Raw genomic sequence first — 23,830 nt, forward strand, 5'->3', positions numbered from 1 at the left:
TCTTGTACTTTTAAAAGATAACTTTGTAAAGAGAAGAGGCAAGAGATGGGAATGGTTTGAATTAGGTGGTAGCAATGGAGATGTGGAGAGAAGTGAATGGATTTGAGATCTCCATAAGAATCTATAAGGCCAGACAAAGACAGGTACACTATATTCAAAGCAGAATTCCTTTCTGCTTTGAGCAGCTCAGTAGACATAGATGCCTTTTACTGTGTTAGGAAAGATGAAAGGAAGAGCAGACTTTAGGTTATGGTATGTTCTCAGTCACATTTTTTTGTTGTTACTTGGTAGATAATATGTAACATTCTATGATTAAATGCTGGTTTAGGATTCAGAATATTAAAGAAATGTTCTTGTCTCATAAAGTAACTGAGGGTAAAGATGATATGACGATGAAATACGTGAAACATTTCTTCTAACGAGGTAATCTACTGAAAGATTGGAACGTTCATTGTGTTTTACATGTGTTTTACTCTAGCCGTGTAGGACGCTCCAAACAAGCAGCTACTAAGGAAAATGATTCAAGTGAAGAAGTAGATGTGTTTCAGGGTAGCTCTCCTGTCGATGATATTCCACAGGAAGAAACAGAGGAGGAGGAAGTTTCTACAGTAAATGTATGTGTTCAAAGTTTCTGTGAGTGGTGTGGGATATAAAAAGAGTTAGTAAATGTTTGGTTAGATCATTTAGTACTTGTTTAGTATTTATATGTTTTACTTCATTAGTTCATAGCATCATTTTATCTACCAGGTTGGATAATGGAGAACATCTTTTATGGAAACCCGAAACTAAGCAAATAGGTGTAGCTTAATGAGAATGTAAATGTCAAGTCTGAACTGAATGTACAGCATTCTAATATTGACACTTTAAGCATGTAAGTTGTACCTTGATTTTAGGGCACTGATACCCATTAAGTATACTGTTGTTTATATTTTACAACTCTCCGTTTGGTATTTCTATTTGGGTTTCATAATAGAAATTAGAAGTTAGTTACACAGAATAAAATCAGCCTTTGGAATTGAAGTTTGAGCTGAATGAGAATTCATAAAATTGGTAATACATACTTATTTTGCAAAAGTAGGTATGTGTTACTTCCTGACTTTTTTGTTTTTGAGACAGAGTCTCACTCTGTCACCCAGGCTGGAGTATAGTGGCGCACGATCTGGGCTCAGTGCAACCTCTGCCTCCCAGATTCAAGCAATTCTCCTGCCTCAGCTTCCCAAGTAGCTGAGATTACAGGCCAATGCCACTGTGCCCGACTAGTTTTTGTATTTTTAGTGCAGACAGGGTTTTACCATGTTGGTCAGGCTGGTCTCGAACTCTTGACCTCAAGTGATCTGCCTGCTTTGGCCTCCAAAGTGGTGGGATTACAGGCATCAGCCACTGCACCCGGCCCTTCTTGACTTTTAAAGTAATAAATAAATAACTTTACCAGTTAATACAACTCAGATATTTCTCTTAGGAAAAAACATAATACATTTAAGTAGAAGCTCTTCTCCTATCTTTGTTTGAGAAACCCAAGCTCTATAATCAAGTCTCAGAATTGGTCTCTGCTGTTCTGTCCTGTTTAATGGAATCAGAACTCCTATCTGTACCAGGATTCATATTTGTGAATAAGCGAGTTAAGTACACAGGAAAATATGCATAATTGTGACCTCAAATTAGTTTGGCTTGTTTCTTAAAGGGTTTTGGGGAGGACATCAAAGTAAGTCTGAAGAGTCAGTAACGATTGATGTCTTCATCAGAGAAAAACTACATGTAAATTAAAACCCTCTTTTATATTCCTATTGTTAATATTGACATTTTTTGAACTAAAGTTTTATGCTTTCATTAGTGCTTGTCAGCAAATGATAATATGTTTGAATTTTAGGTTATTTTACTGTATTGATAATTGTTAAGATCCAAACTCAGTAACTGCTTTCCCAGAAAGATAATGTAAGTTCATAAATGTGAAATGTTTTCATTTACCACAGGAAACATAAGTAGAAAGATGATTAATCTGTTTGAGTTATTTTTCTTGCTGTAGACATTGACTTCTGTTCATTTCTCTTTAAAATTATTAGATAGAAAAGTAAAATAATTTTTTTCTTTCACTGTTCTGGGGAAGTCTGTGAGCCTGTAAGGGATCAAATGTTATAGAGGTCTAAATATGTGATGCCAGGGCAGAAAGTAAGGATAAAAAGTTTCAGGGAAAGGAAAGCAAAGAAAATCAGGAACAAATGAGAATAAAGATTAGTTAAAAATGATTACTGCATATCTTATGCACATATACCCATTTTAATTAAGCATCTGGTGACTTTCCTTTTAAGGTACGGCGGCGAAGTGCTAAAAGGGAACGGCGATGAACAAATGTAATTAATAACTTTCTCTGTGAAAGCTTTGGAAAAATCTTTTTTTTTTTTTTTGGTCAAGCTTGAGGCTGAATAAAGCCTTTGATGCACAAAATGGGACTGCTGAAGAGTGGACAGTTGGACCTTACTTTGGTGACCCCATACATTTGTGGTCACATGCTTTAGCCATACACATGGTAACATTGACTATGGAGTCTTGTGAAAGTGTAATGTGCGATGGCTATGTAGACATAAAGAAGAAACTTGTAAATATCTTTTTTCTTTTTTTTAATGTTTCTGATTTCTGAAGTGCTTGTATAGCTTTTATCTGCGGCTTTAAACTGACAGTACCCGACTGTTTATTGGATCTATTGATTTGAAAAGAATTTGTTAGGATAGATCTTAAGCAGTAATCTGTCAGTGTTTGTATTTGTATTCTCTGCAATTTTACTGTGAAAAAAAATTTGTTTTCAACAATTGGTGTCATTTTCTTGATGTCACTATTTGTTGGAGAGTTAAATGGTCTCTTCCCTTTGTGTATCTTACCTAGTGTTTACTCCTGGGCACCCTTAATCTTCAGAGGTGCTAAATTGTCTGCCATTACACCAGAAGGATGCCTCTGATAGGAGGACAACCATGCAAATTGTGAAATAGTCCTGAAGTTCTTGGATTACTTTACACCTCAGTATTGATTTGTCCCAGAATTTTCTGGCCTTTCATGGCAATGAAAATTTTAAGAAGAAAGATTTAAAGTATTTTAATTTTAAAGAGTGTGTTATAAAATAATGTACTGAATTCTTTATCCCATTTTATCATCCTTTCAGTTTTTATTAATCTACTGTATCAATAAAATTCTGTAATTTGAATGAGTTTTTAATAGTCTAGAATGTTATTGTGTATAGATATTTCCTCTTGAACGTTATGTTCAGAAAATGCAAATTACACTATAATATAAAACCTGATATATACACATTAGAAATATTCCAGTTCTCCGTAACAGTGTAAAGTTAATCAGAAAGAAAAAATTTTATTGATGCAGTGTGTCTTTATAAAGCTGTTCTTGAAAGCCAAGTGTTTTGTATTTTATAGTGAGTTGCATGTTTTTGAAAAAAAGTGCTGAAAATGGGATGTGCTGTTTTCTGTAAATTCATATTTAGCCATAGTATATGATAGATTGCCCCATAACATAGTTTTTCATCAAGAGTTTATTATTGTACTTTATTTTGGAGCCAAAAAATTGATTCTGGGGGGTGGGGGCAGCGTAGAAGTGGTATATCCAAGTATATCAGCTACTGTAGTTGTCACAGTCTTGTGAACTTTGAATGAAATTCCACTTTGTCCAGATTGGGAGAAGTGGAAATTTATTTGGATTTAGAGCAGGTCTTTTTTTTTCTTCATTGTAATCTGCAAAATGTAGAAATAAATTACTTAAGGCAGTATCCTTTATACAGTTGTATAAACTGTATTTTGAACCAAAACATATAGGTTACTACTTAATGCTTACCTAATTTCATTTTAGTATTTTAGGTGCTGTTATGTTTTTTCATGGTTAACACCAGAGGGGAAAAAATCATATTCTAACTTATTAAATTTATCACATTGAATAGTGGAACATTTTCATATGATACACCATTATGTTTAAGATATATTTCCAAGATTGGTTATAATAGATGGGGCATATAATAAAGAAGCTACTATTTTGGAAAATGACATTTTACTATTTGCCAATGTATATTGCAATTGATGTGATTATTTTTCTTTTAAAGATTTGTTTGTGTTTATGAAACAGCCATTTATTTTTTAAAAAGTGTTTTGAATTGTGTCTTAATCTCTCCATATTCAACTATTCTTCATTTACAACAATAGTGACACCAGTAATTATGAGAGGCTGTCATATATCAAAGCAGCTCAGGTGGGATCAACATACATTGGTTTTGAAATGTTTCCTTAGCTCGGTTCTCCCAAACACATAATTTCTGTTTCAGCAGTACAAAGGCATGTTTTAAAATCTATAACATAAAGAATAAGGAATAGCTTTGTATTTTTGTCATTGATTAAATTGCACCAGAAATGTTTATGGAAATATTAAGAACATTTTATAAAACATACGAAAAAGTGATTGTGAAGGATTTTTATTTGCATGATTATAGTTAAGCAAATTTCATTTCACATTTTTGTAATGCTGTACAGCAGTTCACAAAAAAATGTTCATTGTAGATTTTGTTATGTTCAATGCCAATGAGTCTGTAATTTTACGACCTGTCTGTTCTTTTTTTGGGTGGATTACGATGTAAATTTTTCTTTTCTTTCTTTCTTTTTTTTTTTTTTTGTGTAGAAAAATAGGTGCAATAATGATCAAAGTTTTGATGTCTTGAGTCTCCATCTTAGGGGATTATCTTACGTTTAAGCTTAACATTTCATGTAGTAAGATTTGGAGAGCCACATACTTTACAGTAAAATTAAGTGTGTATAAAACATTAATTGCTAACAATTGTTAGCAAACTATTTCAGTGATAATGTTCATTTTGAAAATATGTACTGTATAACATTAAGAAAATATTTAACTCCCTGTAACAAGTTCCATTATGAAAATCTTATTCCTCAGTGAGGTTATCTTGCTGCACTCTGTAGCAAATTTGTTTAATCTACATTATAATAAAATTTCTTGCTGCAGTGCAACAGGAGGCTTTTTCAGTGATCTTCACTGTATATGTAAATTACAAATGTGGCTGTAAAACTTATTCCAGGTATTAAAGGTTAAATTGCTTTCTATATCTTCTTATAACTTGTAAGTCTGATTTTTAAGATTTCCTTTTGTCCACTTGTAAGAATGTCAGGAATTTAAGAATTTGTTTAAATTAGGCATATCTCTGCCATCACATAGTATTATGTCACCATAATGAACAATTGCTATTTAAATAGATAACCAATTTTCAGACACATTTTTGGATTTCTGTGAAGTTGAATAAACATAAAAGCTAATACAGTTGTATTATTTTGTGTATGTAAATCAACATATATATTTAAATACTAAATGGAGAAAGGCACATTTGATGATTTTTAATTTTGGAGCCTTTGTTTCATGAAGTGGAAACACGTCTCAGTAACTTTTTCCAAACCTTTTGTTTAAACTTCTCATGCAAAATGTTGGCGGACAGAGAATTCTAAGTATTATTTAAGTTGAATAATTGCGTAACTGAACAAAATAAATGTATAATATAAACTTTAAAAATAAGCACTAAATAAATAAGTTGCCAGTAGCAGTTTTATTAATTCGTTCAGCAAACATTTATTGAGTGCCTTCTATGTGCCAGGCACTCAAAAATTTTACTCAGTTTTGCAGAGGATAAAGTGTGATCAAGATAGTGTAAGTCCCTGCTTTTGTGGTACTTTCATTATGTTAGAGGTGGGTGAATAAGAAAAAAAAAATTAATATATGATGTCAGATTGTGAAAAATGCAGTGAAAAAAAGGAAAAGCAGGATAGAAAGTACTAATGATAGGTGGAGAAGTTATTTTATATACTTTGAAACATACAGTTTAGGATTGTTATATCTTCATGATGAAGTGATATGGTTTATAATTTAAAATGTCACTTGGTATCTTTATGAATATTTTTAATCTACTTTGCTTGATATTAATGTAGCCATATCAGTTTTGTTTCAGCTATTGTTTGCATGATAAAACTTTTCCTTTTATTTTCAACATACTTACGTTCTCATGGTTAAAATGTGTATCATGTAAACATTTTATACTTGGATTTTGTTCTTTCATCTGAGAATCTTTGTTCTTTAATAGTGTTTAAGCTCTAGTGTAGTTACTTATATAGTTGATTTTAAATCTACCATTTTGCTATTTATTTTCTTTTATGCCAGTCTCTCCTTTATTTTCTCCTTTCCTGCCTATTTCTGGCTCATTTAAAGTGCTTTTTATTATTCTATCTCTTCCATTAGCTTTTTAGTTAAACCTGATTGTGTTATTCTTTTAGAATTACAGTATTTATGTTTGGCTTATTATAGTCTGTGATTAATGCTTTTGCCACCATCCGAACAATGCAAAAAGTTTAAAACAATTCAGCTGTATCTGCCTCTCTAGCCTTTGTGCTAAAGTTGTTGTCTATTTTCAGTATAAAAATGCTACAGTATCCTTGTTGAATAGTCATGTTCTCATATTTACCCATAGATTTTCCATTTTTGCTCTGTTCTTTTTTTAAGAATCATTATGTGCTATCATCTTAGTTCATTTTTCTTCTTTTTTTTTAAAATTTCTTGTTTTCAGCACTTTGACTGTGGTATGCCTAGGTATGATTTTCATTTTATTTAATTTGCTTGGAGTTTACTGACTGGTTGATGTCTTTCATCAGTTTTGAAACATTTTTGGCTGTTATCTCTTCACATATTCTACACTATTTTCTCTTTCTGACATTCCAATTATAAATCTATTAGATTGCTTGTATCCCATCTGCCTTTAAGTGTATTTTCTGTTCTTTCCACTTTTTCTCTGTGTGCTTCATTTTGGATATTTCTGTTGATCCATCTTCAGATTTCTTTTGCTGTCTGTTCTTCCCGTTAACTTTTCAATTAGTTATTAACTTCAAATACTGTATTTTTCAGGCCAGTGTGGTGGCTCACACCTGTCATCTCAGCACTTTGGGAGGCTGAGATGGGCGGACCACTTGAGGTCAGGAGTTCAAGACAAGCCTGGCCAATATGGTGAAACCCTGTCTCTACTAAAAATAAAAAAATTAGCCGGGCGCCTGTAATCCCAGATACTCTGGAGGCTGAGGTGGGAGAATCGCTTGAACCTGGGAGGCAGAGGTTGCAGTGAGCTGAAATCATCACACCACTGCACTCCAGCCTGGGGAACAGAGTGAGACTCTGTCTTTAAAACAAACAAACGAAAGACTGTATTTTTCAGTTCTAGAATGTCCAGTTAATAATATTTTATAGATTTCAGTTCTCTGTTGAAAGTCTCTTTTTACTCATCTTTTCCCCTTTTCTCTTAATTATATAGTCCAAATCTTTACCAATTAACTACAACTTCTCAATCATTTGTCGATCTGATTCTTTTAACTCTTTTTTCTATTGAACATCCATCAAACTTTTCCTGGTCACATTTTTTCCTTCCTTGTGTGGATCTTGTAACTTTTTTCTTATTTGAGGACATTGAATTAAAAGTACTAAAGGATTGAAGTTGATGTGATTTTTCTCCCAAGAGCAGATTTGCCCTTTTTTCTTTTAGGCATTCTAGAGATTGATGACTTCAAGAGTTGAGCCTGGGTTGCAACTTTAGTTAGACTCAATCTGGTTGTTTCAAATGTCTTAATGGTAAGACATGCATTATATGACAGACTAGCACAGCAAGCCTGCAGGAGATTTCATTCAGGCTATTCCGCCCAGCTCCCCAGCAGGAATGCTATTTGACACAGAGTAGTCAAAGGCGGCGTCTTTGAGAAGGTAACATCTGAGCATGGACTTCAATTAAGTGAGGCATCAAGCCTTATGAATATCTGGGAGAAGAGTATTCCAGGCAGAGGGAAGAATAAGTATGAAAGTCCTTAAGCAAGAATGAACTTTGTGCATCAAGGATTTCAAGAAGGCTGATGTTTCTGGAGTTGAATTGAGCAAAAGCTGAAGGAAGGGGTAGGATAGAAAGGAGATAAGAAAGAGCCAGATCACACCTATGATGTCTCTTGGTAATTTTGTTCAAAAGTTGATGGGAATCCATTGTAGGCTTTGAGTAGGAGAGTGGTAAGGTTTGTTTTAATTTTTAAAAATACTACTCTGGCTATTGATGAGAATGGCTAATAGAGTGTAAGAATAGAAGCCCCCCAGTTTAGTTAAATTATATTAGTAGTCTAGACAATTTGTTCATTTCACAATAAGAGTGATAGAAATTGTGATAAGTACTTGGATTCATGATGTATTTTGAAGTTACAGTTAGTAGCCCTTTGCTGATGGATATGGAAGCGTGAGGGAGATGAATCAAAGATGACTCCTAAACTTTGAGCCAGAGAAACTGAGTGAGTGGTGTCATTTACTGATATGAAGGAAGCTGGGTGGGACATATTCTTCAGGATAAAATATTTGGTGTCAGGGTTCATCAGTTTCAGCATGTGATTTATTAATATTTACATAGTCTTTGGGTGCTTTGGATATTTGGGTTCCAGTCCTTTATGTGAATTTCTGTTTGAAGGTGGAAACAGCTTCTAAAAAAAAAATGTAGGCATTTTACATCATCTGGCATTTCTAAAATCTGAAAGCATGTAACTATTAAGAAATTTATTATAATACCTCCAATTTAGCATTTCTGAAACTAAATGAATAACCTTTCCTTCCCAAATCTGATCATCTTCGTATGTCTGAAAATGGAATTAGTATCCACCTAGTAATGCAAATCTAGAAATTTGCTTTGACTCCTGTTCCTTACACCTGTATCCAGTCTGTCATCAAATCCTGTTGAGTTTACCTCCTGATTATCCCTTGAGTTTTTCTACTTTTTTCCACCGGTCTCCCTTAAGTTCTCATCATTTCTTTGCCTCTTTGTTGGTCTCACATTTACTCTTGCCCCACCTCAAATTCATTTTCATAATGTAGCCAGATTGTGAAGTACCATGATTTTATCTACCCCCCAGCAGCAGCAGCAGCAACAGTAGCAAATAATATAAACCTTATATCTCTTCAATAATTTACCATCGCTTTTAGGATAATGTGCCCCACGAAGCTCTGCATCATGGGTCACTCTTGTTTAGCTAATTCTTCCTTCATATTTTGTATTTTATTTCATTGATTTCTTTTTCTAATTTTTATCTTTTGCCTGTACCAATATCTAATTCACTATATTGATAAGTTTTTATATTTGGTCCAAAAATTCTCAAAGTCTTAATTTTAAAAATGTCTTGGTCATTCCTTGGCTCTTCTTGTTATTTTCGCTTATTCAGTATTGAGTCTTCCCACTGAGATAGATTTTTTTAAGGCCTTCCTTTCAATAAAGTTTTTATTTTCTTCATAAGAATAGGCTTTGCACCTTTTAAAATGTTTTATGGGTTTTATTATTATTGCTTACATTGCTATTTCCATTATTTTCTAATTGGTATAGCTGCTATGCTTTTCTTTCTTTCTTTTCTTTTTTTTTTTTTTCTTTTGAGACAGTCTTGCTCTGTGCAGTAGAGCAATCTCAGCTCACTGCAACCTCTGCCTCCTAGGCTCAAGCAATTCTTGTGCCTCAGCCTCCCGAGTAAGTGGGACTACAGGTGTGTGCCACCACACCTGGCCAATTTTTTATACTTTTAGTAGAGATGGGGTTTCACCATTTAGCCAGGCTGGTCTCGAACTCATGGCCTCAAGTTGATCCACCCACCTTGGCCTCCCAAAGTGCTGTTATTACAGATGTGAACCACTGAGCCCAGCTGCTATTTTGTTTTCAGCTGCTTTGTTGAACTCTAATAGTTTTTCAGTTAATTCTCTTAGATTTGTCAGATGGATAATACGATCTGCAAATTGTTTTGTCAGTATTATTTTATATTGTTCTGAAACGTATACAAAATGTCTTTCTGGTCTAATTAGCATTGGTTGGCTCCTCCAGAGCATAGTTAAATAGAAAGCATTCTGCCTTTTCTAATTTAAGAAAGTATCTAGTTCTAATCAGGGTTATTGAAAAATAAAATCTGGAATATATGTTGAATTCCATGTTTGTATGGAAGTTTATGTTTTTAAAAATATATGATAATTTAATGAATTATATTAATAAACTTCATATATAGAACCATCCTTGCTTTGATAGGACTAACTCAGCTTGGTCATGCTACTAGATTCAGTTTGCTAACATTTTACTTAGTATTCTCATGTCTGAGATTGCTTTATAATTTATCATACTAGCATTATTCCAGTATTGATGTAAGGAGTTTTGCTAGCCTTCTAGAATGAGTTGGAGAGTTGTTTGTATTTTTCTATGAACGTTTATGTAGTGTAGGAGTTATTTGCTTCCTGAAATTATAATAGAATTTTTAAAAGTTTTATTTGGTGCTTTCTAAAATTTTAAGTAAAAAAGTGTTTCAGACATGCAGGAAATAATACAGCAGACATTGATTATCTCATTAATAGATATTCATGATCTCATTTCCCAAATTTAAAAGATACCAACGTTGCTGTGTTTCAGTTAGCATTAAGTTCTCCCCCTCAACACACACACACAGATGCACACCTACCCACTTCCTGTGAGTAAGGAATAAGATCTCAGAAACGTTTAGCAAGCTGCGTTTCTTGGGTTTGAAGAATGTTGTATAATTGTGTGTGTCACAGGCACTGTGGAGTGACTGATTTGTCTCTGTCCCTTGGTGGAGAAGATAAGCTCACTTTTAACATATAAAAAAGCTGTGCACAAGCTGCATTCCCTTTTTTGTCTTATCCTAATAATGTGTATCATTCTCATGCATGTGTTCATCTTCATTTTACTTATGTGTATTTAAAATACATAGGACTATTTCGTGTTTTTAAAATTTTTTGGAAAAAAGACATCATAGTTATCATTTTGAAACCTATTTTTCACCCAACACCGTGTCTTTGAAATATAGCCATATTGACATTTGTTGATCTCCATTTCTTCACAATATAACATCTTTTAAAATTGGGATGCTTCCTAAATCAGTGGTGTCTTAAAATTGGCAGCATTTTCTTAATGACAGAATAATGCTGTACCTTATAATCGATGTTATCTTAGATTTGATTACATCCAGTAGTTAATTCCTCTTAATTGCTGTAAAGCATTCTGTTGTTTGAATATACAACAGTTAATCCATTTCTCTATCATAGTTAATCATTTTTCTTATTGGTAGATAATCAGGTTGTTTGCACTTTCACTTTTATAAGCAGTTCGAAAGTAAGCATTCTTCCTGTCTCATAAACAATTATTCTGAATGAAAATGTTGAATTTAGTAAATATGGATATTCTGCTTTCTAGGTATTGCCAAATTGCATTCCTAAGTAGTTATATTACTTTATACTTCCGCCAGCAATGTATAAGAGCTCCTGTTTGCTTTTCATTTTTAGATTTGTATCAGTTTGAAACTGTATTTATGTTGTGAGCTAAGGATCTTATTTTCTCCTTTTCAAATGGATAGCCATTCGCCTCAGTATCATTAGTTATTGAATAGTTTATTCTCTACTTGACTTACAGTGCTCTATCCGCCATATACTAAATGCAGGCAGTTACAGATTAAGATCTGTTTCTAGGCTTCCTTTTCTATTGCATTAGCTTATGTATGTAGTATATTTACTGTAGTTTTATAGTAAGGCATCTCCTTATTAATACTCTTCAAAATTGTCCTGACTATTGTCTTTTTATAACTACAAGAATTTTTAAATCATGTTGCCTGATTCTGGGGAAAAATCTTTAGGATTTTTATTAGAACTACTTCGAATTTAAAAATATATATTTGGAGAAAATGGCCATCTTTATGATGTTGAATCTTCCCATTTATGAATATGGCTGGTTAGTTGGTCAGTCTCTTTGTAATCGATCTTGCTTCTTTTTCTATCAATAAAGTTTTACAATTTTCTTCATAACAGTCTTGCACATTGTAACTTTCTTTAAAAGTACCTTTCTAATTGTTTGTTGTTGGTGGATAAGAACACTAGTTTAGTCTCCATTTCATCTTATTAAAAACTGTGTGACTCCTTTGGTGCTTAGTAGATTTTTTTAGGAGCTGAAACTTTTATTGTCTTTTTAGCTGCTCCATGGTTGGTTAAGCCAGATTGTTCCTTCTACCTGGCTCAATTTTGGTAATCTTTTCCTTGGAAATCATGCATTTCTAGGTTTGAAAATTTGTTAGGAAAAGTTTTAACATAGGCTGTTTTATTTTGTAAATCTCTGCAGCATCTCTCTCTATTTTTTTTTCTTGAGTCTAAGTTTTTTGTCAACATTTTTTCCTTTATCATTGGAATCATTAAAAATTTCCAAGAAGCAGCTTTTGGTTTTATTTATTGAGTATTTATTTCTATAATTTTTGCAGTGATCCTCATTTCTTTTTTCAACTTCACTTGCACTTAGTAGTTCTTTTAGTCTCTTGGGTTGAATGCTTAGTTCACGTATATCTTGGTCTTTCTTGTTTTCTAATATATGCATTCCTCTTATAAGTACTTCTTGATTATATCACATAGGTCTTGTTTGGTGGTGTTCCACTTTTTGCTCATTTCCAAATAGTTTGTCGTTTTAGTTTTGATTATTAAGCCTAGTGTTTTTTTTTTTCCTCCCAAAAGAGGAAAAAAATGTGGGGATAGGCTTGAAGGGAGGGGCGTATTTTTTATTTTATTATCCTTTTGTTATTCTTACGTAGCTAAATTTATGGGCCAAGAATGTCACTTGTATAATTTCGGTTGTCTGTATTACTGAGAGATTTTTCTGTGTCTTTATGTATGCTGAAAAGAAGGTTTATTCACAGTTTGTGTGTATCTGTATTTTAGATTGAGCTTGTTAATTTAGGTTATTTAAATTTTTATATCTTGTTTTGTCTGTCAAACTTTCTGGTTTAGGGTAGATGGTTTTGTTAATGTCTCCCATAAAGATTATGAATATTTCTCCTTGTATTTGTATCAGTTTTTACTTTATGTATTTCAAAGTTTTGATGTGAGGAGTCCTATGACTGATATGTATTCTTGATGCATTGTATCATGTCAGCAGTATTAAATACCTGTTTTTTTCTCCTTAATGCTTTTTGATTGAATTCTATGGTCTTAATCTTGCTATGCTTTTTATTAGTATATGATACTCCTTTTTATCAACTTCCCTGTGTCATTTTGTGTTCCATCTGATTCAAAAACAGCATTTAGCTATTTTTATTACTTATTTTTTCCTCCATTTTCTCTATTCTTCTTCAGGAAGTCTTAGAGTTTTTGAGATTTTAGAGCCAGCTGTCTTCCACATCTCAGCTTTACCCTGGCAACACTTTTCTCCAGCATGTGCTTTGGGCTATAATTCTTTCTCAAGATATACTTTTTTCCCCAGAATTTGTCAAGATTTGTACGTTTCTTTTTCTCATCATTGCGGATTTATCTAGTATGTTTCTGTGTTTTTATATTATCTCCCATCATTTTATGAGGGAGGGTAGTTGCCAGTAATCATTGTTCTGTCTTGATCCTGTGGTGTCCCTCCCTGATTCCAGCACTTAGGTTTTATTCTTAACCTGTTTGGTTTGGGGCACAAGAGTTTCATAAACCTGTATTCAATCCATCATCTTTGAGCCTTCCTGAGCTGCTTCTTAAAAGGCTGTTATCTTACAGCGTGTCATTATTTTACTACTGTTCATCTCATAAGTTGGAGTCACTTCAGTTCCTCAGGGCTTCTGCTAGCCACCCCAGATGGAGAGCAGCTCATTTTTTGGACCTATTATTGGAGAGTGTCAGTGACTATATCCCGTCCTTTTTTGTAGGTCCTATTCATGACTTCTGTATATCCCTTCCTTTTTACTGGCCTCTGTGACACTATTCTAATAGGGTTTTCTTCCTACCTTTCTCTATCCCCCTTATTTTCACTGGTGGTTTTTCTTCACTCATTACTTAATTGGCATTGCAACTTAATGTAAGAGTCATTGGCTTTTTGTCCTCTTTTTAAAGGTAAAAAATAATTGTACTGACTTTTATACAATAGTAATTGTACTTTTATTATCCCTTGAGAAAATATGTATGTATATAGATAACAGACATATTACTTTGGTAGAGCCATATCATTAATATACACTGATTTTAAAAACACTTGCTTTGAAAGATCTCACTTTACTATCTTCTTTAATCATCACAACAACATATAGTATGATTGGATAAGTATGAGGCAGATAAAATGAAGTAAATCTTGCAAGGAAGCAATAATATTTTATAAATTTACCTGTTCTGAAGGGTACTTTTTTTTTTTTGAAATGGACTCTTGCTGTATCACTGCTGGAGTGCAGTGGCATGATCTCTGCTCACTGCAGCCTCCATCTTTCGTGTTCAAGCGATTCTCGTGCCTCAGCCTCCCGAATAGCTGGGACTACAGGCGTGTACCACCATGCCCGGCTAATTTTTGTATATTTAGTAGAGATGGGGTTTCACTATGTTGGCCAGCTGGTCTCGAACTCCTGACCAGTTGTCAGGAGTTGTCAGGAGCTGATGAGGTGTCAAGTGATCTGCACACCTCGGCCTCCCAAAGTGCTGGGATTACAGGCGTGAGCCCCTGTGCCCGGCCTCAAGGGTACTTCTGACCATACCTAAACTTAGGCAGTAACTTTAGATTTGCCATGCTCTATAAGTTTTTACTCCTCCCCATGTACATTTGAATGATATTACATTTATAGGGAAAATAGTCGCCACTTTATTTTGGTGTAGATGTGTTTATTACTTGTGTTAACTCCAGATGTAAAGCCAAGTGTAAAATAGCTGATGGAGCCTTCATTCTGCTGGCTCTGTAAATGTAATAGATGTGTGATCACAGGCAAGTCATTTATCTGTCTGCAGTATGGTTTCCTCATCTATCAAATAGGCAAAAAATAGCTCTTAAAAACGAGTGTCATCAATCAAATAAAATATGGTGTGTGTGAAAAATCTTTGTAAAGCATAAAGAACCCATGACAGGCTTCACTGTCAGCCATGCCTACCTCATATAACAAATAACAGTTAAAATTGTTAGCCTTTAGTTATCAAAGCATATGTCACGAATTCAGTTCATGGGGATCCTTGCCCACTTATGGATAAGAGGGTAATAGTTGGTATTTAAAGAAAACATTAACTGCAGAGATATGATACAGATATGTAGCTATAGATATATCTCACTGAAATTTATATGAGTCAGAGGTGGAGAATATCCAAGCCATGTTACCATCTTCCAGTATCCACTTCTTATGGGCTCTCAAATATCGGACCTTTGCCCATTGCCTAAACTGCAGTTCATCTTGCCAACTGGTTTTGTTTTGATTCCTATTTATTATGTCTTAGGCTGTAATCTCATCCAGACCTGATTCTGAGACCAAGCTCTGTGTCTTCTTGCCTTACTTGCTGCTTTTGACCTCTTAAACTAGAGCTTATCATTTTAAATGGCCCAACTTGATTACACTGTAGATAAGACTAAATACTGTGACTCTGAGAAAAAATAAACTTTATTTGTGCGACAAATTATTTGCAGCTTCAGCTCTGATGAGTAATTCCCAGTCTGTGTCCCTTACTGACTTCTGGACTTTAATTATGATCTCTGGTGACTGATTATTTGTTTTACTTATTTTTATTTTTTAGAGACAGTGTCTTGTTCTGTCACCGAGACTTGAGTACAGTGATATGATCATACCTCACTGCAACCTTGAACGCCTAGGTTCAAGCGATCTTCCTGCCTCACCCTCCCGAGTAACTAGAACTTCAGGTGCATACCACCATGCCCAACTAATTTTTAAAAATATTTTTCATAGACACAGGGTCTCCCTGTGTTTCCCAGGCAGGTCTCAAACTCCTGACTTTGAGCCATCCTCCTGCCTCGGTCTCCCAAAATGCTGGGATTACAGACATGAGCCACTGTGCCTGGACTAATTACTGATTATTTGTATTTCCTGTGACTTCATCATCCTTTTCTGTTCCCACTACAGCCCTTCTACCCACCATCATCATTGTGATACATCATTTTTTCAATTACCTGGGATATAGACTATCAAGGAGTCCTGATTATTTCACTTTTTAAACCAGAAGACATTTTACTTTCCATGCTATTGCAACTGTTGAAAACAGGAGGATTTAAATAACTAGGAAACTTCAGTTAAGGGGGAGTGGGGAGAAAGCCTAAGTTTATACCACAAAGTAGGAAGAATATCCACCAAATATTTTTGGACTAAAACCAAAATAAATTGGGATAGACTTCTGAAGCTCGAGAATGAATTCTCTGAAAGCGTCACCACCCTGAAAAACACACTCGAAGATCCTCTGGTAGGTGTGACAAAGATGATTAAAGGGCTTCCACTGGGCCCAAGACACATTTTGGACACCCCTGCAGTAACTCAGTTCATTCATCTTAAGTGACAAGGGTGTGGAATTGATGAGAAATCTCATTGAAACACTGCACTTTCTGCATTCTAGCCTTCAAATCCTGAAGTGAGAAATCACCAAGGAAAATACAGCTGCACAATCCACTTGCAGGTGGAGACTGAATTCAGCTGAGAGAAACAACAGATGGGTCTCTAGAGAACCCATGACAGGCTTCACTGTCAGCCATGCCTACCTCATACTCTACAGAGGCAAGGCAAAAACTAAGGATGGGATCTGCCCCCTACTCCTCAGTGAGATTGTATCATGAAACTCAAGTTGAAGCTACCAGCTGTTTCAGGTGGCCAATCTCTTACAATGTCATGGATTTTGTAAACAGAGGGCCTAGATAGACCTGCCATCCTCAGAAGGCGACTAGTGGCAAAAAGGAATCAGCAGGGGAACTATGAATAGTTACCACAACCCAACATCTCTGCCCTCCTACAAAAGAAAAAAACAGCTATCAAAAGAATATCCCAGGAAAGACTTCAGACATTCTCCATACTCGCAAATAAATTAGAGAACTTGAATTCTGAAAAAGAGCTCAAAGAACTAATGATGAGATAAAGATGAAAACTGATTGTGCAGAAAGTCACATATCAAAGTATATAAGGGATTAAAATAAGGTAGATCTAATAGAGATGTTAAATATTGTAATTTTGAAACAATACACCTTGTCAAGAAACTGAGTCGTATGGAAATTGGCTATCAAGCCAAAAGAATCTCAAATTACAAAATTAAAAATGAATTAAAATGAAATATCTAATTACCTGGAATTTTAAAAAATATTCTCAGATCAAGGGAAAAAATGACAAATATTTAGAAAGTAGCTCTAATAAAAATACGTATTAAAGGCAGTATATAGCTATACTATATATATGGCTGAGACTGTGGCTTTGCAGCCATACTCTGGGTTTCATCCTCAGTTTTGCTGCTTACCAGTTGTGTAACCTTGAGCAAGTTGTATAACCTCTCAGAGTCTCAGTTCTGAAGGATTAAGTAAATTTAAAGAAGTACATGGCACAGAGTAAGTGCTCAAAAAATATTAGCCATTGCTAGTATTTTCCAAGATGGCCAGTGTGGCTAGAATGGAGTAAAGATGGAAGAGCTTTATATGAAGTCAGGGGCGTGGAAGCACAGATGTAGGACCTTGTGGACTATTACAAGGACTGTAAGCAAAAGCCATAGGGCTTTTGAGTGAGATGGGAAGCCACCTGAGGTTTTGAAGAGAGGAGTCATATACTCTGACTTCCATTTTAAAACGATCCTCTGGCTAGTGTGAGGGGGGAGGGCTGAGGCAGACAAGGAAGCGGTTGTGCTAATCTGGGTTATCTGTGACTGGAATGGCCTTGATGGATGGGATGGTAGTAATGGATGTAGTGAAAAGTGGTTGGGTTCTGGATATATACTAAAGGTACAGCCAACAGAATTTGCTGATATATTGGGTATGAACTGTGAGAGAAAGCACCTGGCCCAAGCACTGGAGAGAGGAGTTGCCATTAACTGAGGGATACCTGTTATTACCAGAAAACAAATCTAAACCGTAATAGGAGAATAAATAGTCTTCCCTAAATACGGTTGGACTCTGAATTCTCCAAGAAGTTATGAGCTGTACTTAACTCATAGCTGACCTCTGTGGGAATCAGCCTGCGCCTAGATCTCAGTGGGACTGGAGCCTAAGCTGGCTCCTGGGGATCTCTGTTCACCTTGTTCATGGGACGATAGCCCCCAGCCTACAGGAACCTTCAGATGATTGGACAGTGGACAGTCACGCATATCTGGCAGATGGTGCAGGAAGAAACCGCAAGGTGACACTTCTCCACTAGTAGGAGTATGGGATGAGAACTCCCTCTTGTGAGATCACCATTCAAGTTGGAGAATACTGAACCTTGATTCTGGGGATCAGCTGGCTTCAAGCTTTCAGAGGGGCTAGGAGCTGTCCTTGGTGAATATGGAGAGGAACAAACTGAGTAAAGGCAAATGTCAGAGGAAAGAATTTGTCAAATGAAATTATGTTCATTGTGTAATCTCACCTTATTACTACCTCATTCAAACTGATATATTTGATGTGATTGGATTTGTTTGGGCATATTGGTGGAGAAACTAGATTCCCTGTACTTATTGACACAAGGCAGAATTGGAGCCACAGAGACACTGACGTTAGTGTTTTTGGTATTTAGTGACTTGTGAAATCACAGGTGACTTCTGATAGTGCAGACTTAGGGCACTATTGGGGTGGGGGAAAAGAAGGCAGAAGCCAGACTGCAGTGGGGTGAGCAAATGTGAGTTCAGGAAGTGGAGATAGTGGAGGCTGATTTGGAGAAGTCTGGATGAGGAGGAACAAGGAGATGCCTTTTTTTTTTTTTTTTAAGGATAAACTATACTTGAACATTTTTTCCCATTAAACATACATGTATTGGGGTACCTGCCCACAGCCTTTTTAATCTGCTGTGGCACATTGCCTCTACTGAGTTGCATGATCTTGTCTTCCCTCTGATCCTACCTCACAGAGAAGAGTAGCCCGTTCACAATGACCTATGTATTGTGTGACCTGTTTGTATTTTCTTGTAGGAATTTGAATTAAAAGACACAGACAAGTTTCCAGTGAGTCATGGAGAGTAAATAAAAAATCCACGGGCTACTCTGGGCCATATGTGAGAGGAATTTAAGGGAAAGCCTGCTGCAGGACAAAGGTGGGTGAGCAGATGTGTGGAAAGAAGAAGAGAAGTCCCTAGAGATTACGTGAGAAAGAGGTGGCCTCGATCTGAATCCACCCCTGCACCTTCTGAGCACTGTGGCCTTGCAGTAACCACCTCCCCACTTCCTGTTATTCAAACTGGTTTGAAGGGATTTCACTTTCTCCCAGATGAAAGGACCCTGACTGGAGCAGTCTTGCTCGGACCTCTTCATCTTCAGCCCCTGTTTGTTCAGATGTGTTGTACAGATAAATACCAGAGTGTGTGAAGATGCTGTCTTACCAGGTTATTCTTTTCTCTTTTTAGAGACAAGGTCTTGCTCTGTCACCCAGGCTGGAGTGCAGAGGCGCGATCACAGCTCAGTGCAGCCTTGCACTCCCGGGCTCAAGCAATCCTCCCACCTCCATCTCCCAAGTAGCTGGGACTACAGGTGTGTGCCACCACACCTGGCTAATTTTTCAGTACTTTTTGTAGAGACTAGGTCTCACTATGTTGCCCAGGCTGTTCTCGAACTCCTGGACTCAAGCAGTCCTGCCTCAGCTTCCCAAAGTGTTGGGATTACAGGTGTGAGCCACCCTCCCTGACCTCCACCAAGCTATTGTTCTCCCGCTCACAGCTGTCTACTACACAATGAAGTATAAAATCAACAAGCCTTTCACAGCCTGCCAGAATATGGCTTCATCCTACTTTCCAAACTTTTTCATGGTATTTTCTGTTAACTTTACTTCTGCCAGACTGACTGTACCTGTCGTTCAACACACTGTATATCTACACCCTTAGTCCTGGCTTACATCATTCTGCTTGTCAGTGATCTAGACCCTTTGTATTCAAAGTGTGGGTCAAGCAGCAGGATGGGCATCACCTGGGAGCTTGTTAAGAATGCAGAATCTCACAGCCCACCCCAGACCTCCTGAGAATCTGCTTTTCAGTAAGATCCCTGGATAATTGAAATTCACCTTAAAACTTGAGAAGCATTGGTCTCTGCTGCCTGTGCAAATATCCCTTCTGCTTTAAGTCCTAGCCTAGGGGTTGTTTGTCCCATTATATTTTTTTCTGACCATATAGTGATAGTGGTTCGCTTCAACCGGAATTCCTATAGCACCATGAGAAACGAATAGTAATAGTTTAATTGAGTACTTGCTGTGAACTGATCACTAGAGTAAGCATTTTATATGTGTCGCTTAATTACTCTTTACAACAATCCTATGAGGTATGTTTATCACCATTTTACGGATAAAGGAACCAAGACTTGGAGAGTAACTTGCCATGTTCACACGGCTTGGGTCAGAGCCAGAATTTGGATTTAGATCTTTCTGATTCTTGAGCCCACAAAGCATACATATCTTTATAGTAACAAGACTGAGAAAACCAGTCACACTAGAGCATATGACTCTAAATGAATACCTCAGAGTATTAACTGTAATGACTTGTCATTATCATCTTGCTAACTTACAGCTATGAAATTATCTGTAGAGGAAATTAACAATCCATTAAAGAAACTCTGATTACTTTATGGCCAACCCATGCATAGCCTATGCCACTTCTTAGTTTTAGTGTTTTCACCATTTTGAGGTGGAGCATCATACAACTTGTCACCTATGCTTCTATAAAACAGAGACTTTTAAACATTTAAAGAATACTATATAAAACTGCCACAGTGCTTTGTACATAGTAAACATGTAACAAATATGTACTGAATTCGTTTGATTCTCACAATTAATTGTGTCATAATCATCCCTGATTCAATCTCTAATAACATATCCAAAACTGAATTCCTGGGCTTTCCACCCGTGCCCACCTCCAAACCCGGTCCAACCTCAGCTTTCCCCATCTCCATCTGTAGCAATTTCATTATTTTAGTTATTCATGCGCAAGCCATGAAGTCGATTCCATTTCCCTCACACATCCTTTCTAATCTGTCAGGAAATCCTGTTGACTCTTCTTGCAAAATATATCCAGGATCTAACCACCTCCACTGCTACTTCCATCCAAGCCACTATTATATCTTACCTGGTTTATCAGTTTGCTAGGGCCACCATAAAAACTACTACAAACTGGATATCTTAACAGAAATTTATTAGCTCACAATTCTGGAGGCCGGAAATTCTGGAGACCAAAATTAAGGTGCTGGTAGCGTTGGTTCCTTCTGAGGGCAGGATTTATTCCAGGTTTCTCTCTGGCTTGTAGATAGCTATCTCCTCCATGCGTCTGTTTATATCATCTTATGTGTGTATCTGTGTTCAAATTTCCCCGTTTTATAAGGACACCAGTCATATTGGATTAAGGCCCACCCTAATGACCTCGTCTTAAAACCTCTGTAAAGACTAACTCCAAATAAGTCACATTCTGAGGTAGTGGGGGTTAAAACTTCAATATATGAATTTGAGTGGGTAGGGGCACATTCAACCCATAACATCAGGATTGTTGCAGAAGCTTCTTACCTGGTTTGTCTACTTCTTCTCTTGTCTCCCAGAGCCCTTTCTCCACACAGCAGCCAGAGTTACCCTTTTAAAATGGAATTCAGGTCCTATGTCTCTTTTGCTTAAAATTCCCCAATGCATCAACATTGGAATGAAAGCCAAGGTCCTTACAGTGGTCTCACAGGCCGTATGACCTGGTCGCCGTCACATCTCTGACTTTATCGCCTCCTACTCTCCCCTCACAGGCTGTGCTTCAGCCCCCAGGCTTCCTTGCTGCCCCTCTAACGTACAAGGCAAGTTTCCTTCCTTGTCATAGTGCTTGTATGTAGTATTTCCTCTTCCTGGAATGTTATTCACCCAGGTGTAGGTGAGTCTTGTTCTCATCTCCATCAAGTCTACTCAGATGTTTCTGACTCAACACGGCCTTCCTGACTTTCTGATTTAAAATGTCATCCCCTACCCCAGCACTCCTTACTACTGTATTATGCTTTACTTTTCTGCATGGCACTCACCCGCTTCTGGTACACACTATAATAGATGTTCACATTTTGCTTATTGTCTGCCCCTCCATTAGAATATGGCTTAGTGGGGTTTGCTCTCTGTTGCAATCCCAGGGTCCAGCACACGGTCTACTAGAAGACAGTCAATACATATTCAATACAAATAAAAGAATCCTATTTTAGAAATGTTGAAACTGGAGAACACAGCAGTTAGGAATTTTTCCAGGTTACACAATAAGTTAGTGACAGAGCTTGAAGTAGAACCTTGGAGGCCTCTTGGCCTCATAACCAGACTATAAATATTTTCTTTGCTATAATGACATAAATATATATGCTAACTAAAGCTGAAAATACAGTTTTAATTTTCATTTTAAAGTTTGTCTCCTGCTTGCAAGCTGTTTCTTTTTTTCTTTGAAACAGTGTTTCGCTCTTGTTGCCCAGGCTGGAGTGCAGTGGTGCGATACCGGCTCACCACAACCTCTGCCTCCCGAGTTCAAGTGGTTCTCCTGCCTCAGCCTCCCGAGTAGCTGAGATTACAGGCATGTGCCACCATGCCTGGCTAATTTTTTGTATTTTTAAAATAGAAACGGGGTTTCTCCATGTTGGTCAGGCTGGTCTCAAACTCCTGACCTCAGGTGATCTGCCTGCCTTGGCCTCCCAAAGTGCTAGGATTACAGGTGTGAGTCACCGTGCTTGGCCTGTTTCTATCTTAATAGCCAATATTTAGATCATTGCATCATCATCTAATTAGTCTAACCCTAACCCACATTGCAAGTATCGTTAACAAGGCCCCCAAATACAAAGCATTTCTCTCTTGACTCAGTGGCTGCATCTGGACTGTTAAGTCACACCAGTAGTGTTTTATTTTTTATTAAGATAATTATAATTTGTATAAAGTAATATATAAACATGATTGAAAAAATAAAACATTATGGAAAGGCCTGTAACGAAGTGTCCCAAACTCTCAAGGATAGTATGTTCTTGAATCCTTACCCCCACCCCGACCCCACCCATGCTTTTCCCTGAACCTGGCTCTTGGAGCTTTCTGTCTTTCTGTTCCAGGACCGATGCACAGCTCTCATTCTGTGACCTTCCTTCTCTTGGGTAGATTCTACTGTTTGTTTCCTACATCTCACGTCTTCCTCTTAGATTATTTCCTTATTTTGCTGGAGGTCATCCTCAAGTACATTCTTAAGAAAGGGTTATGGGAAGTAAATTTTGTGAGTACTTGAATGTTTGAAAATAAATTTATTCTACATTCATGCTTGATTGTCATTTGCCTGAGAGCACAGACTCCACCTCTCTAAGTAGTAGTGCCAGTGGCAGTGGTGTGGCTCCCTGGAGGACTTAGTCGGCCACAGGTGAGTGACCGGAAATAGATGGGCTTGCCTCCTTCAGCTGCGTGTCCCTCCTTCCCTGCCTGGCCTCTGATTCCTCACTCCCTCTGTCCTGTGTGCTGTCCGTAGCCTTTGGAAATGTTGGCCTTTCTGACCCCTGACTCTTGGCTCCTGTCCCATCCCAGTGGCAGCCTTCTTCCCTGTGGCTTTCTTTCTTGAACTTCACTGCTACCCTCAGTTCATGCGTCACGGACACTTTAATACACTCGAAGATCGTAGGAAGGAAAAGTATTGCTTGCAATTACAATAATTGAATAAAAAGGAAAGTACGACAGAAGTAATTAATCCCTCTGCCCTGTAAAGTTGTCTACTGGCAGACAACTTTCCCCTACTCCTGCTCAAAACAAACAAACAAAAAAACAAAACACCTAAAGTTGGAGAATTCTAATACAAAGAGCAATGAACTTAAATGGAAATGGTTTGCATTTGAAGACATTTATTTAGTTGGCAGAAGGATTATT

General features: G+C 36.7%; 1 protein-coding gene across 9 annotated transcripts in view; it reads left to right on the plus strand.

Annotated features, from left to right (window-relative positions):
• Positions 1 to 5,309, plus strand: part of PDS5B (PDS5 cohesin associated factor B) — a 191,568-nt gene extending 186,259 nt beyond the window's left edge. For all 9 annotated transcript variants that reach the window (XM_005266298.5, NM_015032.4, XM_017020452.3 and 6 more), the window contains 2 exons: positions 479 to 614; positions 2,307 to 5,309. In XM_005266298.5, coding sequence (XP_005266355.1) covers positions 479 to 614; positions 2,307 to 2,342 — 172 coding nt within the window. In that variant the 3' untranslated portion in view covers positions 2,343 to 5,309. The remainder of the gene's footprint in view (positions 1 to 478; positions 615 to 2,306) is intronic.

The sequence above is a fragment of the Homo sapiens genome, chromosome 13 (genome assembly GCF_000001405.40).
Source record: "Homo sapiens chromosome 13, GRCh38.p14 Primary Assembly".
NCBI classification, from domain to species: Eukaryota; Metazoa; Chordata; class Mammalia; order Primates; family Hominidae; genus Homo; species Homo sapiens.